The sequence below is a fragment of the Homo sapiens genome, chromosome 8, assembly GCF_000001405.40.
Source record: "Homo sapiens chromosome 8, GRCh38.p14 Primary Assembly".
In the NCBI taxonomy this organism is placed as follows: Eukaryota; Metazoa; Chordata; class Mammalia; order Primates; family Hominidae; genus Homo; species Homo sapiens.
The window spans coordinates 107,939,424-107,957,411 of NC_000008.11; the positions used below are offsets into that span (position 1 = coordinate 107,939,424).

Consider the following 17,988-nt stretch of genomic DNA (forward strand, 5'->3'; position numbering starts at 1 on the left):
AAAAGTTATTATGGGACAGTTACACCAAACGACAATTTAAATAAATTAAATTATCTTTTTTTTTTTTTTTTTTTTTAACATTAAGGCTGTCTCTACTGTGCTTTTGACTCTGGTTCTGCTGTTCAATAACTTAAAAATGAAGAATATTTGCAAGAGCACAGCTCGAATTGCTGAGAGTAAAGTACTAACAGTTCAGAAGTTTGTTGTAACATTTGTATTACTGACCCCCATAAAGCACCTTCTCAACTTGTATAGAACCACAGGCAGAAGATGGCAAGTTAAATGCCAAGCGTTTTGCCTGCATTCTGGCAACATAACAAGAAAAAAAACATCTAGAATCTCAAAGTCTAGTGTGTGCTACTAGCTTGGTAATTTTAAAAAAATCCTTGATTTTTCTGGGACTGTCTGGCAAGTAAAATGCCTATTTTAGCTAAGTGTGGTTTATTTTAAACAGTATCGCTCCTAAAAATTTATAGTTGCTTAATATTAATATCATCTTTGAACCAGAGGTAACATCAAGGAAATATCTAATACCAACAGATCTGAACTGATGCCCTATAAGTCAGCAGAGCAGAACATAGCTTCTTCAAAGTTATAGACTGCAGCCACCCTAGATCCCTTTGATTTTGCTATTATACTATCATCATCAATTTCACCAACCAACAACTTGAAGAAAGTTCTGCCTTTGCCACTGAACTGGCTAAGGGCTTCATCTCAAGTGGATTTCCTCTCAAACTAGTCTACTTCTTCCTGTGCTGAGGGCTAGTTCTTAAATTTTCTCAGAGGTGGTCATTTCTGCTTAGCAGATAAAGTGTTGGATTTTGCCTTAAAGGAACTCAAAATGTAAAACACCAGGTTTCGTAACTCCAGCCAAGTTAAGTATGTGTGTTTTATTAACAGACACTAGCCAGAAATGCAAATTATTTCTACAAAGTTCTAATCCTGTTATCAACCCCTTGAGACATACCCCCTTACCCTTCCATCCCTCCCCTGGCTATGGTTCTATATTTTTATTGCATGTTTTAAAAAAGAAAAACACTAGTAAAGCTACCCTAGATTCTGGTTTAGGAGTCCCAAGAGATGACACTGAGGTGTGGACTGGAGCAGTTTTCTAATTAAAAAGTCAGATGGTCTTTTTCTCTAAGGAAAGCTTCAACTCCCAGTGAATGCTTGGCTCATAGCTTCTTGGCCCAAGGCCATTTAGCATCTGCCTCAACAAAACCCCTTCCTGAAGTAGAGTCTAGCAAGCAATGTAGATTCAAGTCCTCAAAAACCAAAGAACTTGGAAAGCTAAAGAACCCCTTCCAAGCACAATTTTGAAAGAAAATTCATTTAATGGAAACAGCTATTTGCAAAATTTTAACCAATAGATGAATAAGGAAAAAATGGAAAAATGGAACCGTTTTAGCCATTGATGAAAACATCAATCACAGCTCCCTTCTGATACAGTTTTTTTCTTTTGTTTTAGAAAGGCTTATTATATTTCCCCTTTATGAACCTTCAAACAATTGGAATCAGCGGTTTGAGTTCCCTGCTATCAGCATTTGGTTCTTTTTTTAATCTCTGTTGTAGCAGTTTATATACCTTTTCAAATCTTGAATCACTTCATTATCACAGCTCATGGTTTTAAAATATTTGCTATAATGAAAAACCACACATCTTACCCCCCAAAAAAATGTATAGTTCACTGATTTTTTTTTCAGGCTGGTGGATTGGCGTGGACCTTATACCAATCATATCCCGACTCTGAAATAATTATTTGAGATTCATCTGGGGCTGTGACACAATCAGTCAGAATCCAGAAATGAGGCTCAGAACAGAGCTGTTAGAAATCACTTTCCTACATTCTTCATTTAGAAATTATCTCTATGGTGGCCTTCCTCTAAATCAAACTGCAAGAAGGTCTAGGAACTTGGGTGTTACAATAGACTCATTAGATGCTTTGTCTAGATTGCAATGATAACAGACTAATAAATGGGTGCCAAAAAATAGATCACTGCAAAATGTAAATTCTAACGTTATTTATGTAAAGGCAATTTCTACACCCTATACATAATAAATGTAGACCATTTTTGTGTTTTGGGGCTTCTTCTGTAAAATCCATTAAGATAGCCCCCGGCTAGATATTTACTTAAACATAAATGAAAGCTATCATAAATTACTTAAGATATAAAATAAAATGAAATTTGTATCACTATAAGAGACCACTCTGACCATGAATAAATCTAATCAGTGAGAGTCAGCATGTTGCTTATTCTGTTCTGTTCACACGCAGAAATCTGCTTGGTTTCACAGTGAGCAGACTTGGTAATGGTGTAATTCTGAAGTGCTTCTTGATTGAACACTCTATAAACAATGTAGTAAAACTATGAAGTGAATTCTTTATAGTTAGTGATTCATAAATCAGGTTAGGCCCACTGAAAACTGACAAAGGAAAAAAACATGAAAAGGGAAAGATTTGAATTAGGTTCTAGAAAGTCTCATGATTGTGCAGAAATCTATATAACTTTCTCCCATGACCACAGAACTGCCACCAATTATCTGCCTTCATATAAACTGCCACCATCTGTAGGAGTTTTAGAGGGGGGATGTTCTGTGCCAGCCTTTGAGGGTCAAGATTCGATAGTAACTTAAGAGAATCAACTGAAACCAGAAAACTGAGATAAGCAGAGAATAATCTCTAAGTGTTCAGACAACAGCCCTGGTCTCCCCAAGAACCTCCAAGGGTGGCTAAACTGCCCATGGTTACCCTAAAAGTAGGGTCTCTTCCAATTCCAGCCCCAGGACAAATTTGATTTAGAAGCCCTGGGGAAAGGAGAAGGTTGCTGACTTCCTATATTAGGAGAGTAAAATGTACTGGCTGAACACCTAAATATCTTATTTCAGCCCATGTTAACATTTTAAAAACCATTTGCAGTGCTATGATCTAATGCCCACGCCTCTTGAAATTGTCACAATGATCTCCTAAGAGATACAGTGTTATCACATAGTTTCATTATATAAAATTTCAGCAAGCTTAATTTCTTCTACATCTTAAGTATCTAAAATAAAGATCTAAGTTTAGGATATTTTGATTCTCTTATAGCACTGACTTTGTAGCCTGAAATAGCACTAGAAAGTAAAAATTTTAAACTAAATTTCTTTGTTCATAAAATTAAATATCTTGAATTTTAGTATAAAAATACAAAATCATGTTTGCCCCTCTTAGGAAAATCCAGATAACAGGACAGCAAAGCTTTTTTTCTGGTCAATAGGAACTACACATTTGCTTTTTCTAGTTGTTCATGGGTAAAAATACTTTTGGCTAATAACTAATCCTGATTTTATTGTTATTGTTGTTAAAAGGAACAGATGCTAAAACATAAAAAAAAGGTTGTTTCATAGCTAGCTTGTCCATGCATTCAAAGGTATAAAATGAACTTAAATTATAGTTGCTGTTTTTATTTGACTATCTTTGTTTCTTACTGGGCTTCCAACTCCAGTAGCGGACAAATGCACTAATTTTCTCAATATGGAAAATGCCAGCATTAAAGCCAAATAAAGTTGGGCTTAAGATGATTACAGTAGATTTCATCAAAGCAACTTGACACTCATCAAAATTCAGTCCCAGTTAGCTGATGAGATTTCATCAGGCTGCTTAAGCAGCAGGGAAATAAACAAAAGTGGAGAGACAATGAAAACAATGTGACAACTGTCAAACAAAATGCCGAGCCCAACATTGAACATTTCCTTAAATGCAGTGCTGAAAATACTTATTCCCTCTCCTCCCCACACCATGCACACATGCGTGCGTGCGCGCGCACACACAGACACACACACAATAAGTGATCACATATTTTTGAATTTTCAATCTTTATGTGTTCATTGCATAATACTGATTGTGGAATAATGTTACTAAGTACTGAAAGTTACATAAAATATCAGCATTTTGAGAACTGTATGGTTAAAAAAAACTTTGAAATATGGGTGTTTAAGAGGTCACCGCCCTTGCTTGAACTCCTTTGAGCAAGTTCTTAATAAATGCAAGGTATTATAAAAGGAACGGTTCAAATTAGGCTACTACTGATGTTATAGTTTTGCAACTAGACATGCTCACGTGCCATCGCCTGGTGGAGAAATTTCACGTAGCGGTTCTTGGGATATCCAGGTCTTATGTTTCTGATAAAGTAGAAGCAAACTGGTAATGGCAACACAGAGTACACTGCTTCAAACACAGCTGCAGAAGCAACCCAAATAACTCTTAATTCAAAGCATATTTGATGACTATATTAAGTCAATCTGCACACTTAGAGTTGACAATTATACCAAATAGAGGAAGATCTGAAATGCAACAGACACTTGACATTTGAGGCCAAAATTACTTTAAATTACTCAAGTTAGCAATATCACTCTCACCATGTAAAAGACAAGAATACTACAAGGAATCTGTGCACAGATGCAAGACACAGGCATGTGGTTTTCTTCCACAGGTTTTGACGTAAGATGAAAAGAAGAACAGAGGGAGAGGGGGACGGGAGCTTACACAATACACATCTTACCTGGATTAGTACTCAATTCCTTTTACCATTTATTTAGAGGTTCATTTCTTTTAGAGTTTTCAAGAAAGAGGTATAAGCACTCAGTATTTTGCAAAATAGACTCTTCAAATAAGCCAAAGTCTTTTGTATATTTTCTAAGTTTATGGTAATAATCAAACTTATAATTCAAGTCTCTGGTTTATTATCTTGGAATAGACATTCTAATAACTAAATTAAGATTGCATTAATGACTAATAGGATTGTATCACCAAAAAGTGAGCAGAAAATCTGTGAAAATTTTCTCGTAGGACTAAGGAAAGATAATAACTGCTGAATAAAATGTTATAGGGGCAATTCAAGATAAAATAAGTTTTGCTGAGGTACATATCATGTGCTTATCCACCTTATACTATATTTAAGTATATATAATTTGTATATCTAAATGAAAGATTGTAAGCCACTTAAAGATAACTTTTTATTGGTATATCATAGAATCTTGCAGAGTCCACCAAAAATAGGAGACATGTTACTGAATTCAGTCCATGCCAAGTTTCATACTGGTCTTTTGAGAGGAAACACTGCAAAAATAATAGCTTAATCACCACAGTTCTTCTATACCATAACACAAAAAAAATCTTAATTGCATTACATCTGAGCAATTCTCAGGGATTATTATGGGTTGAAAGACAAAGAAGCCATATGGGAGAAAGTGCTCTAGGTTTAACATCAAAGCAAGAATTAAGCTTTGCTTTATCATCTACCATCATCATCATGGGGAATTCACTCTTTCACCTCTCAGCACTTTAGTTTCCAGTCTGTAAAGGAAGGGATGCAAATGAGTGCATCTTGAAGTTCTGTTTTTATAGGAAGACATGCTCTTTTTACTCATGCATACAAAATCCCTGAAATGTCAAAGAGAAAAACAAAAAAACAGAACTACCTTATTTAACCAAGGATGAGAGTCCAGATATCTACCTGCCAGGCCTCTCTCCAAACCCTGAGAAAATCTAGTTTTATCACTAGATAAACTAGTGATAAACTCTAGGCCTAGAGTTTCCTTCTCTTCTACAAGCCCCATGCTGTCTTTAAGATTGAATTACTAATATATAATGGTTTAAGGAATTAAATTTCCAAAGGAAAAATATCTTTGTAAATGAATCATCACAAATGGGCAATGACTTTTTCTTCCCTGTGTGAATTCTGTAAACCTCAAATTCTTCTGGAATGGCCAATCTATGAGATTCAATTTGGTAACCAATTCTTACAGATTTTGATTTATCTCCTGAGTTCATTCTTTTACCTTTTTTTTTTTTTTTTTTTTTTTTTGAGACAGAGTCTCACTCTGTCACCCAGGCTGGAGTGCAGTGGCGCGATCTCGGCTCACTACAAGCTCCGCCTCCCGGGTTCATGCTATCCTCCTGCCTCAGCCTCCCGAGTAGCTGAGACTACAGGCATCTGCCACCACGCCGGGCTAATTTTTTGTATTTTTAGTAGAGACGGGGTTTCACCATGTTAGCCAGGATGGTCTAGATCTCCTGACTTTGTGATCTGCCTGCCTCGGCCTCCCAAAGTGCTGGGATTACAGGCATGAGCCACCGTGCTCGGCTTCTTTTTCCTTATTTCTATTGTATGCCCCAATTTTTATTCTTTTGCTACGTAACACATGCATTGTTTCAACAGGTTCTCTATATTTTAGTAAATGTTAGGCTGTATACATCCCAATGTTCATATTTTAGCTCAGTTTATCTTTTCCCTTCACCCTCCTTTTCATTTATTCAATTGTCCCATACTCCAGGTCTATATTCTGAAGTCTCATCTCCTCAGCCACCATTAGCCTGCCCTGTTCATCCTGCAACCCTCATTCCTTTCAACATTTGAGGCTTCCTCTGTTCTAAGCCCTATGCTAATCAGGAGGCTCAGTGCCTCTTCCTGCCATTTTTAAAATTTAATGTTTCAATTTTACCACCTAGATTACACTGTCGATGAGGTGAAACGAGTTCACCTTTGTATATGTTGACACATCTGTTTGCTGAAATGCAAATGAATATTTGCTCCCTCTGCCTAACAAAAGTTATAGCAACATTCTAGGTAAAGAGAATTAAAAGTCTTTGAGTAGAGACAATAAAAATGAAGATGTGTGGAGCACTGAGATGTAAGACTGGGTGGGTCATTATTTAAAGAACTCACACTTTGTGATCCTTCACTCTGTGCTAGGCAAAGTATGAATGATGTCCTTTAATCCTCATAACAGCCCTGTGAAGCAAGCATCTGTTATCCCCGTAACATAGATGCTGACACTGAAGTTCAGAGAGATTAAGTAAACTTGTCTGGTTCATACATTTTAGGTGGTTGGGCAAATCTTCGACTTCCAATCTGTCTGAATGTGAGGAAAAGATTCAAAGATAGGACTGCAAGCCTGAGTAACTAGAAGACTAGTGATGCCTTTGGAAAGGGGGGCTGTCCCAGGAGAAATGAGGTTTTGCAAAGACAGTTACAGTTTAGCTGTGCTTAGTTGCACATGCTGGCAGGACACCTAGGGAGAGGTGCCCACGAACGGACAAACCTGTGGGACTGGGGCACAGAAGGAAGGTGCATGTCTGAATCATAGTTGAAGCCACAAGGTAGGCCGAAATTAAAGGAGAATGAAGAGGCAAAAACAGGCCAGCTATAAGAAAGATGAAAAATGTGAAAAATATTGTATAATTAACAACAGGATTACAACAAAATGTAACAGAATAGTAACAACTCACCTGTTTGTATGCATGTCCCTTTACTACTCTCAACAATCTTATTGAGATTACATGTCATACATGACTAAGCTTTGGGAAATAAAATAACTTGTCATTCAACCCGTAAGTAGTCAAGACCGGCCATATACCAAATTTAAAACCCCATTTAAATTTCCCGATTCTGTTTTTTCCAACATACAAAGACATCCACCATCACTGAAGGTAAAAAATAAAAGCTAGATGATTATTTGTCAAAGATGTCCAAGTGTGTGCTGTAGGTAAGGTTGGAGAGAAGGCAGCAGGAAGAGCTGTAAGCAGAACCGGTCAAGGGATTAGAATTCAGAGGAATGAATACAAAATACATTGCTTCTCACTTCATGCCACAAACTGCAAACTGATTAGCTACATGGTTTTCTCCTGAACACAGCATTTAACTCAGAATCCTTTTCAACCCAATGTTCCAGGACACTGCTTTTGCTAGTCAGCGGCATGTTAGATAAAACCATGTTAGATTATACAATTGAAATTGAACTTTGTAGGAACATTTTCATCCTTGACCTGAATATTTGATTTGTGTACTTTAAATTTTCAGAGTACTCCAAGCTGGCTAGTACAGGAAACTCATTATAAGGTTAACATGGCAAGCTAGAAAATAGGAAATACTACATCCAAGGATCTTGGTAAATGGCAGATGAAAGTAGTAGTTAGAAACAAATATAGTTCACTTAGGGTGAAAGCAAATTGTGCCTAGATTTCAAAAAAAGAAAAAGAAAAAACTGTACAAATACAAACTAGAGAATGGCCTGGCTTAGAAAGTTGGCAAAAAGAGATACAGGGGCCACAGTGGACCACAAGCCAAGGCAAAATCCTCCACTCTTTAGAAAAGCAAACAACAGGAAAACACGTAAACATCAGAACCCGTAAGTATTCTCTGCTAATTCTCTCATCAGACTCAGACTCTGTTTAATGCTCTGCCCTAAATCAGGGATGTACAGTTGATCCTCTTCCTAACACTTTAGCAACACCATTTCAGTCACTTCCATCTTCAGTCAGCTTTCTACTGAAACACCTTCACACTCAAATGTCTCATAGCTCTCCACAGTACACAAGGTAAAATTCAAACTCCTTGTCTTCTCCATGGACACACTTCAGTCAGGCTGCAACTTATATTTTTTTCTGTGAGCTTCTGTGACTGCCATTCACAAATTCTGCGTTTCGGCCAGGTTCATTTGCTTCACCTCCCTTGGGTGCATGAGGCACATTCTGGTGTATCTTTCCTCACAGTGTTCTGTCTAAAATGATCTCCCTTTTTAAACATGGTTTCTACCCACTCCTCCTAATATAAGTTATCCTCTTCAGGAACTATTCCTATTCCCTGGCAATGGCAGCTAAAAACAATACCTTTTGTTCTATAGTATCAGAGCCTGTAACAATGTCATCTTTACCTGACACTCAATAATTTAAAAATTAAGCTTTGCCTTTTATCTTTAATGTGCATTTTCTTATTCCGTAACCTGGCTATAAACTCTCTTGTTTGTATCACTCTCTCCTCCCAATCTTCCCATTTCTTTAGAACATAGGAAGTAATGGATGCTTAATTGATTCAATGGACCTAAAGACACGGCAATAGAAAAATGACAGATTGCTTAAATCCCAGCTCCAACACTGGATTATCTTGGGGAAGTAGGTTGAAAGAGAAATTGGAAGGCATCCTGTAACATATTTTTTAAAAGTCAATGCAATTCGGTAAACATTTACTCAAAATCTCCTTGGTTCTCTCATAACAAATAGCTTTGACACAGATTAAGATAATCAAAGGCCAGCCTTGGAGAGGAAACAACAAAAAATTGCAAAAGGTTATCTAAAAATATGAGTGCAGGCCTTGAGATAATCACCAGAAATAACTCTGCACCTAAATATGCAACTCCTGACCTTATTTAAGAATATCTTAAGGCCGAGGCAGGCAGATCACAAGGTCAGGAGATCAAGACCATCCTGGCTAACACGGTGAAACCCTATCTCTACTGAAAATACAAAAAAATTAGCTGGGCGTGGTGGCGGGTGCCTGTGGTCCCAGCTACTCAGGAGGCTGAGGCAGGAGAATGGCATGAACCTGGGAGGCAGAGCTTGCAGTGAGCCAATATCACACCACTGTGCTCTAGCCTGGGCAACAGAGCAAGACTCCATCTCAAAAAAAAAATAAATAAATAAATAAATAAAAATCTATTTAGAAAATACATATTTATTGACAAGTTTGAAGAGTAACTGCCCCCTGCAATATAATAGGTCTGCACCTTTTTTTTTTTTTTTGGTTCAAATTTTATTGCATATTAGAAACACCTGGGGAGGTTTTTCCCCCTAATAGTTTTTGGGGAACAGGTGGTTTTTGGTTACATGAAATAAGTTATTTAGTGGTGATTTCTGAGATTTTGGGGCACCTGTCACCCAAGAAGTGTACACTGTACTCAATGTGTAGTCTTTTATCCCTCACCCCCTTCCCCCCAAGTCCCCAAAGTTCATTATTTCATTTGTATGCCTTTGTGTCCCCAGAGCTTAGCTCCTACTTATAAGTGAGAACACACAATATCTGGTTTTTTGTTTCTGAGTTACTTCACTTGGAATAATGGTCTCTAACTCCACCCAGGTTGCTGCAAATGCCATTATTTCATTCCTTTTTTGTGGCGGAGTGGTATTCCATGGTGTATATCCACATTTTCTTTATCCACTCTTTGATGGGTATCTAGGTTGGTTCCATATTTTTACAATTTCGAATTGTACTGCTATAAACGTAGATCTACATATTTCCTGCATTCACTAGATACCATGAAGTTCCAAAGGCATTCAATATTCACCAAAATAGCCTACTGGGTGATTACAGCAAAAAACAACTGATAAGTCAAAACATTTTGATTCCATGGAACTGGAGGCCATTATCCTAAGTGAAATATCTCAGAAACAGAAAACTCTTATGTTCTCACTTGTAAGTAGGAGAGAAATAAGAGGTAGACATGGACTTAGAGTATGGAATAATAGAAACTGGAGACTCAGAATTTGGGAAGTTGAGAGGAGGCTAAGGAATAGGAAATTACTTAATGAATACAATGTACATTATTTGGGCGATGGTTACACTAAAAGCCTAACCTTCACCATTATGCAATACACCAACCAACCTGCACTTGTACCCTTTAAATTTATATGATTTTTTTAAAGTCCTGAATCAGTATTACTCATGCCACTATTGAGTCAAGTTCATAGTCACACCTTCAGCCTTCATCCAAGGATAAACGCCAAGCTGCTTTCTACCTTTTGGAAGCATGTATGTGACATGGGTGGTGTGACGACATCGTCCACCATGTGATTCCCCACTTGAGAAGTCTAATACTGCAGAAATGTGTTTAGCTTTTGCCTCCCTACTGAGCTTTTTTCTGTGAGAATTTCCTCAATTCCATAAGTCCTACTACCTCCCTGAACACATGCACACTTTAATGTGTCTGAAATTGGAATAAGTATTTGTATATATGTGCATGTGTGTACATGTACCATACATGTGTGTTTATTGTGTATAAACAGATACATACATATGTGATTTTCCCCTCTAAAAGCTGCTATTAAATTGATATTTTAAAATCAAGCACTTATTTTAAATCAACCTAGAACCATGTCTACTTTTTCCCTTTGCCTGGTAGCAAACCTAAAGTCAAATTTTTGGCTCAATTACTTCAACCAACACAGATCTAAATAGCTTATTTTTTCTTTTATTCGGGCCTGAGCTCTTATTCTAATTTAAATTATTCCTAGTTTTAATAGGTTACATTTTGGGGTGTTTTTTTTTTACCATGTTATCTTATGTCTTTGTACATTAAGTTCTTACTAAATCCTTTGAGTAATGGGCAGGATATATGGACACAGCATCAGTTATTAAACGTCTCTTGACAAGCTCAACTATTTTGCTCCTAGTTTCCAAAGTCCTCAAACACAAGATGATAGTATTAACACAAAGTAACATTAGGTCTGAGTATCATATCAACAGGTCAGTTGTAAAGCAAAAACTACTGCCTTTACATTTTTAGGTTAATTAATGGTAAAAAAAAAAAAAAAAAATTTGACACCTCTGTTACACAAAGTAATTTTATCATCTTAACTACTTCTGTATGATGACATGAATCATGCTGAGATTTTAGTAAAATTCTGTTTTTCTTTTCACTAAAATGTTTGTCTTCTGATAGTGAAGGATATCTACACATACAGCTCTAGGTTAATCTAGTAGCTAGAGAAGTATTACAGGAAATCTAGATGAGCAAATTGACTGCTCTTTTTATCAACACCATTTAAAGATCCCAGAGAAGTATGTGATGAGGCGATAGGGAGAATAAGTTTTTTTTTGTTGTTGTTGTTGTTGTTGTTGTTGTTGTTTTTGAGAAGGAGTCTTGCTCTGTCCCCCAGGCTGAGTGCAGTGGCACGATTTCAGCTCCACCTCCTGGGTTCAAGAGATTCTTCTGCCTCAGCCTCCCAAGTAGCTGGGATCACAGGCATGTACCACCACACCCAGATAATTTTTGTATTTTTAGTACAGAGTTTCACCACATGTTGGCCAGGCTGGTCTCAAACTTTTGACCTCAGGATCTTCCTGCCTTGTGCTCCCGTAATGCTGGGATTACAGGTGTGAGCCACCAGGCCCAACTGAGAATAAGTTGTTCTAAAAAATGATTAGGACATTTATACTTAAGACATTCCTATCTTATAAAAGGGAAAAACGAGTCTCCTGCACGGAGGGGGAAAAATATCTACCACTGACACCATGTGTGTCCTATTAAAGTTGTTTTTATTTTGGAGTGTCATAAAAAATGTTTTATATATTTTATATTACCATAAGAGTAGCTTACTGCATAGAACTTTGGGTCTTCAGTGGCATATGTAGTTGAGAAATTCTTTTTACAAGTACCCATAAAAGAGACTAGTACGTGCTGCCCCAGACTACATTGAAATGGGGCTGGCAGAGATTCCAGATGGGAAGCTGTAGAGAACAGCACAAAGGTGTGTCTTCCTCCACTAGAGTTCACTCACTCCCGGCCCCCAAGGCAAGCAAGGCTGGCATTCGGATTGTCTCAAAATGAAACCGAGAAAAGAAGTTGTCTCATGTCCACCCCCTCATCCTCCACGTTCTGAGTGTTTTGCACCCCTTTATATTTATGTCTATGTCCATGTCTATGCCCAAGACTGAATCTAATTTGGAGACCCCTTTTCTGCCCCCCTCATTTCCTCAGACCCTTACCCTCCAATATGTGAAAATTAGTCAGTCTGAAAGAAATCGTTCCTTGAAAAGAAAAACTACCACCACCATCACCAGGTGCCAGTGGTTATCCTCTGCCTACTTTCAGGAAACAAGTAAAAATATTTTAAAAAGTGAGGGTGGGCTGGGGAGAGGAAGGGGATTCCTCTTAAGATTCTGTTCAGACCCCTGACGCAGGAATTTCAGACACTTTAGCTCCTTAAAGGAATGTTTGGAGGCAAGTGGATCTTTGTTTAACACCAACTTAATAATTATACACTAACATTTTCAAAGTGGCTACTTATGGGTTACCCTCCCAGTTTATAATCACTTAAAACACACACACACATGCACACACACACACACACACACACACACATATTATGATTAGCTTCCATGTAGCCGGAGTACCTGGAAAATAGTATAACTTGCTTAATTTAAAATGACTAACACAAATCATTGATTTCTCAGACAGACATTATAACACTTTTATCATAGCAAACAGAAAGACAATAAGAATTTCCTTTTAGATGCTCTCTTCTTCACATAAAAATTTTAATATCGACATTCTTGACAAACTCTAAAAGAAAAGAGGTTCTCTCTTATCTCCTCTCTTCCAAACTACTCTTTAGGGTGACATGTATAAAGCAGACCACATAAATTGTGACTCAAATGTAAACAAAATGTAGAGAAATAAAGAACATATGTCCATCGCATATTTTCTTGACCCTGTCCCATTGAAAAATATGCTTATTTCCTGCTCTGGGGTTAATCTATCACAATCTACAACCATCTTTAGTCATATTACCTAATACGTAGTCCACATGTTGCTGTCAGTTTATACACACACGAAAAAACATAGGTTTGGAGAAGTCTTACTACTACTACCTTTTTAAAAGTAGATTTTTGCAGAGATCAAGGTTCTAAGTAGCTAATACTTTCTTTTGTTTCCTACCAAGAACCACTTTTGAAGAAAGAAAGAATACCCTAAAATTAAAATAGTATACAGTAGCAGATTTCATACTTAAATTTAGCACAGTACTAAGAAAATGTGACTGGAGTTTAAAGAATTGCTGTGTGGTTACTAAAAACTGCACTATCGTGAGTTGAGGCAGCTGTGAGCAAAAGAGGCAGAAAGCTATCCCAGTATATGACAAAGCATCACCTTAATTACTTTAAGAGTCCGATAGTTGAAATGTGTCAGAAGGAAAAAAACATGCCAGGCACAGAGCCTTCTGATGTGGAGATGGGGATCAGGTTACCCAGGGCTTCTGTGTAGGCCAAGGAGCAATGGTCAAAGATGAATGTTGGATGTGGCTCCACACAAGGCAGTCTCCTCTAGAGGGCTGGCTTTGAAAGATTAGGGATGGCAACTACAATCTTGAAGCCACATTTCCCCCCACTACCAACCAAGGACCAATGACTCTAAAGGAGAGTAGGGCCTTCACAGGGAAAGCTGAATCAAAACAAGGCCAGTGGCTCAACACTTTGGCCCTTATGCAATGACCATTGGGATATGTTTCACCAGTGATTCCAAATTGGAAGGGATGGCGATGGCAGGGTTGTTTAAAAGCATTTGTAGAGCAAAAGTAAAATGATATTTCTGCATAGAGGGAGAAATGGTTAAAAGTTGGGAAGTTTAATGTTGGACAACCATGGCTTTATCTTTGGTCTTTATCATAAAGACCAAGGAAAAAGCACAGGAAAACAGGTTTCCTAAGCAGCAGGATGATGGTCCTACTCTCGGTTCTACCACTAGTAACTTGTTAGGTATCACTTTGGACCAGTCAGAGCCTCCATGGAGCTCAGTTCTTTCCTCTTCCCTAAAATATGGCAGGAGAATCAAGGATGCTCCAAAAAAAATTTCCCTTAAAGCTTCAAAGTATATCCCTCATTTAGATCTCTGATCAAATGTAACTTCCTCAATTTTCCTGATCACTCTACATAACATAGTATACCCTGACCCATTCACTAGCTCCCTGTCCTACTTGTCTCCACAGCCCTTGTCTTCACATGAGATTATGTACCATCACCCACTTCTTTATTGCAGCTATTCCTGCTAGAAAAAGCTCTCTAAGGACTCTTTGAGCAATCCCATGCCTAGACTTATGATTGGCACATAGCAGTGCTCAACAAGTATCTGATGAAATAAATTAACAAAATGAGTTGTGATGGGGCTTGACAAAGAAAGCAGGGAGTCCCACACAGATAGGACAGAATATTTCAGATTGAGATCATGATGTTGGTCAATCCTCCTGTGAAAGAATAGAAGACCACAGCCACCTACAGATGACATTTTGTCTTGTACATGAACATCCTCCAACATAATACCTTAGCAATCACAAATTTGTTCTTCCATGTGTCATTTAAATATATGACAAAAAGCATGTTTATACTTTTGTATTAAGATATTCCCTAATGTACAACATGGCCCAGACTTGAAATTCTTTCCACTTAAAGCTTCAGGTTATATATTCATAAATTGGTCCCAACATGATTTTCTTAATTAGTATACTCAGGGAGAGGGCAAAGGGAGTGGAGACAGTTATATCTGCCATGGGTACAGCTTTCATTTTCAAGTCATTCACTCTTTTTTTCCACTTGTTTCCTATACTCAGTGTTCAATATTTTTTCCTTTCATTGTCCATCTTTTATTTATTTATTTATTTTATTTATTTATTTATTTATTTTGAGACGGAGTCCTGCTCTGTCACCAGGCTGGAGTGCAGTGGCACGATCTTGGCTCAATGCAACTTCCACCTCCGGGGTTCAAGCCACTCTCCTGCCTCAGCCTCCTGAGTAGCTGGGACTACAGGCACCCACCACCATGCCCAGCTAATTTTTGTATTTTTAGTAGAGGCGGGGTTTCACCATGTTGGCCAGGATGGTCTCGATTTATTGACCTCTTGATCTGCCTGTCTTGGCCTCCCAAAATGCTGGGATTACAGGCGTGAGCCATTGCGCCTGGCCTCTCTTTTTTCCATGGTCTTTTATGCACCCTTTTCTCTTCTGTCATTCGCCATAAATCAGTCTGCTATATTGGTAGCTAAGTCACAGGTCATGTACAGATTTAAAAAGAATCTTGGTTAGTCTTTGAAGGACCAAGCAGAGTCCTCCCTGAAGTAGGAAGCTGAAAGCTGCTGGATGTGGAAGGCTTGGCAAATGCAGGGGGCAGCTACTGGGAAAGTGTTCAGATCCTTCATTGTGAAACTACACTCCTGGCCTTCCAAGTCTCTTCCTCACCTTCATATGACAGCCACAGAACTTGCCTGCAACTTTTGGCAATTAATCCTAGAATCATCAGATTTTAGAACAGAACAGGACCTCAGAGATCACCTATCCCCCCCTAAATCCTCAATTTTACACATGAGGAAATGGAGGCCAAGAGAGGTTAAGTGACTTGTCAGGGCTCACTGAATTAACAAGTTGACACGATGTAGGGACCCAGATAACTCCAGACCAGGACCCTGAAGAATGATTGTTGGAAAAGCCCAAGAAACCTTACAGGTTATGCTATCAAAAATGAAAAAACAAGACAACTGATCTAAAGGAAAAGTTTGGGAATGAAGACTGAGTATTTCAAGTGTAATTTGATCTACTAAAGATATTTCCAGATATTATTTGATTTTTTTTAAAAAAAGAAAGCAAATAAGCATATAACAGTTAAGGAAAAACTAGGCTAAGCATTACACTGTTTTTTAAAAAAAACTCTTAAAGCCATTTATGTTTTCATATTTAATAGTTTTCAGTGTAATATCTTATATGCATAGTGATGACTATAGCATTACACTGACCTCTAACTTATGCCTTTCAGTAATCAGAAGCAGCTGATTTTAATGTGCTGCTGCTTTAGTGTGAAGGAGCTTAAGGCTGCGTTTGTGTGCAATCAGGTTAAGATTGGCTTCAACAGGAGAAAAATCCATACATATGTTGCAAAGATCTTAAAAATGCCTGTATTCCCAACCTGATTACGACTTACATTTTTGCATGGTTTGTCAAAGCAGATCACTGAAATCAAATCAAGATGTAAAAAGGGATAAAGTGGCTTTCTTCTCCATTCTTCCACTAGTCGCCATGACCTATTGAAGAAAGGAACTTTTCTCTCTCTCACCTGAGGCAAGGTAGGATACTCCCCTGGAAGTTACGCCAATTTTTATCAATCGGTGCTCAAGTTACAAAGCTAATTTTGTAGTTTTCATTTCCTACATTTTTAAATATAAGTAACCTTATTACAGAATAATTTGCCATTTCTCTCAACAATTATATTTAGTTTCCTTTCAATAAAATAGTAAAAAATGATATAACTTTGAAAACCTATTTAAAGGTTATATAAAATTGATTTTATTAAACTGAAAATGTAGACACAAGAATTAGAGCTATAGCTAGTCTTTCCTAATAAGTAAAACTTGGTAAAACTTCAGTAAGAATTAAATCAGTCTGTTACTGGCTTGTCAAAAAGAGAATATTAGCAGATGATACATAAGCATTTGTTTTGGCGTAACTTAAATTGCTGACAGTATCAAGTTGTATTCAACTAAGACAGTATGTTGTTGTTGATAACATAAAAATACAAATGCAATAAATATTATGGTTAACAATCTAGCTGTAATCTAGAAAATTCTCAAGCCAGACTGTGGCTAGGTCAAAATAAAGAGTTTTGGAGGGGAGGGAAATGTGTTGCCTCTTGTTACACATGAGCATGTTTGTTATAGGAGCATTTTCAGTTTAATTTTTTCTATTAATGTAAACCACAATTGGGGGACCACATTGCTGGAAGAGGAATGGGGGAGGGGCTAGTTATGTAAACAATATACAACAAAGAAAGTCTTTATTTCCAATACCTGAATACATCAAGTTTGTTTTTAGGGAGAAGGTTGCAGGTTAAATGCTCTCAGCTATCCAAGAAGTGGCTTATTAGTTTTGTAAGAAAACATTTTCTTATATTTTGACTGAAAAATACCTAGTTTAAGTGAACAAAACCATCCTTGTTAGTGAAAAGCAGACCTAAAAAAACTTTGTTTCAAAGATCCAGTAAGGAAAAGCAAAACTAATTCAAGAGGAAAAGCTGCTTTCCTAATAGTAGCTTCTGAATCTGGATCTAATAGTTCTCAAAGGCCGACTGGAGTCTTCGAGTCTTAAAAGTATTGTCTTTCTCCATGGATCATAGACATTCTCTATGAGGCAGCATAACACGGATATAAACCTGTTTTAAGCAGTTATATATTCTCTTTCTGGGCTATGGTCATAAAGCTGAAAAGCTATGCACCCACAGAAAGAATGAAGGCAAACAAAAGTTATGATTCTTTTACAGAGCAGTTTTCCAAACACAACTTTCTTTTTTGCTCTTCTATTTTGAGCGAATGACATTGTAGCATCCGCTAGTGATAAAATAAATGTAACCCAGTGATTACTGCTTTAGGGACAGCACAGTGACAGGGCTCAGACCCACATTTCAACTTACTGATTCTGCATC

General features: G+C 37.5%; 1 protein-coding gene across 3 annotated transcripts in view; it reads right to left on the reverse strand.

Annotated features, from left to right (window-relative positions):
- The window catches only part of RSPO2 (R-spondin 2), a 184,305-nt gene that overhangs the window by 40,108 nt on the left and 126,209 nt on the right, over positions 1-17,988 (reverse strand). The gene's annotated exons all lie outside the window — the stretch shown is intronic.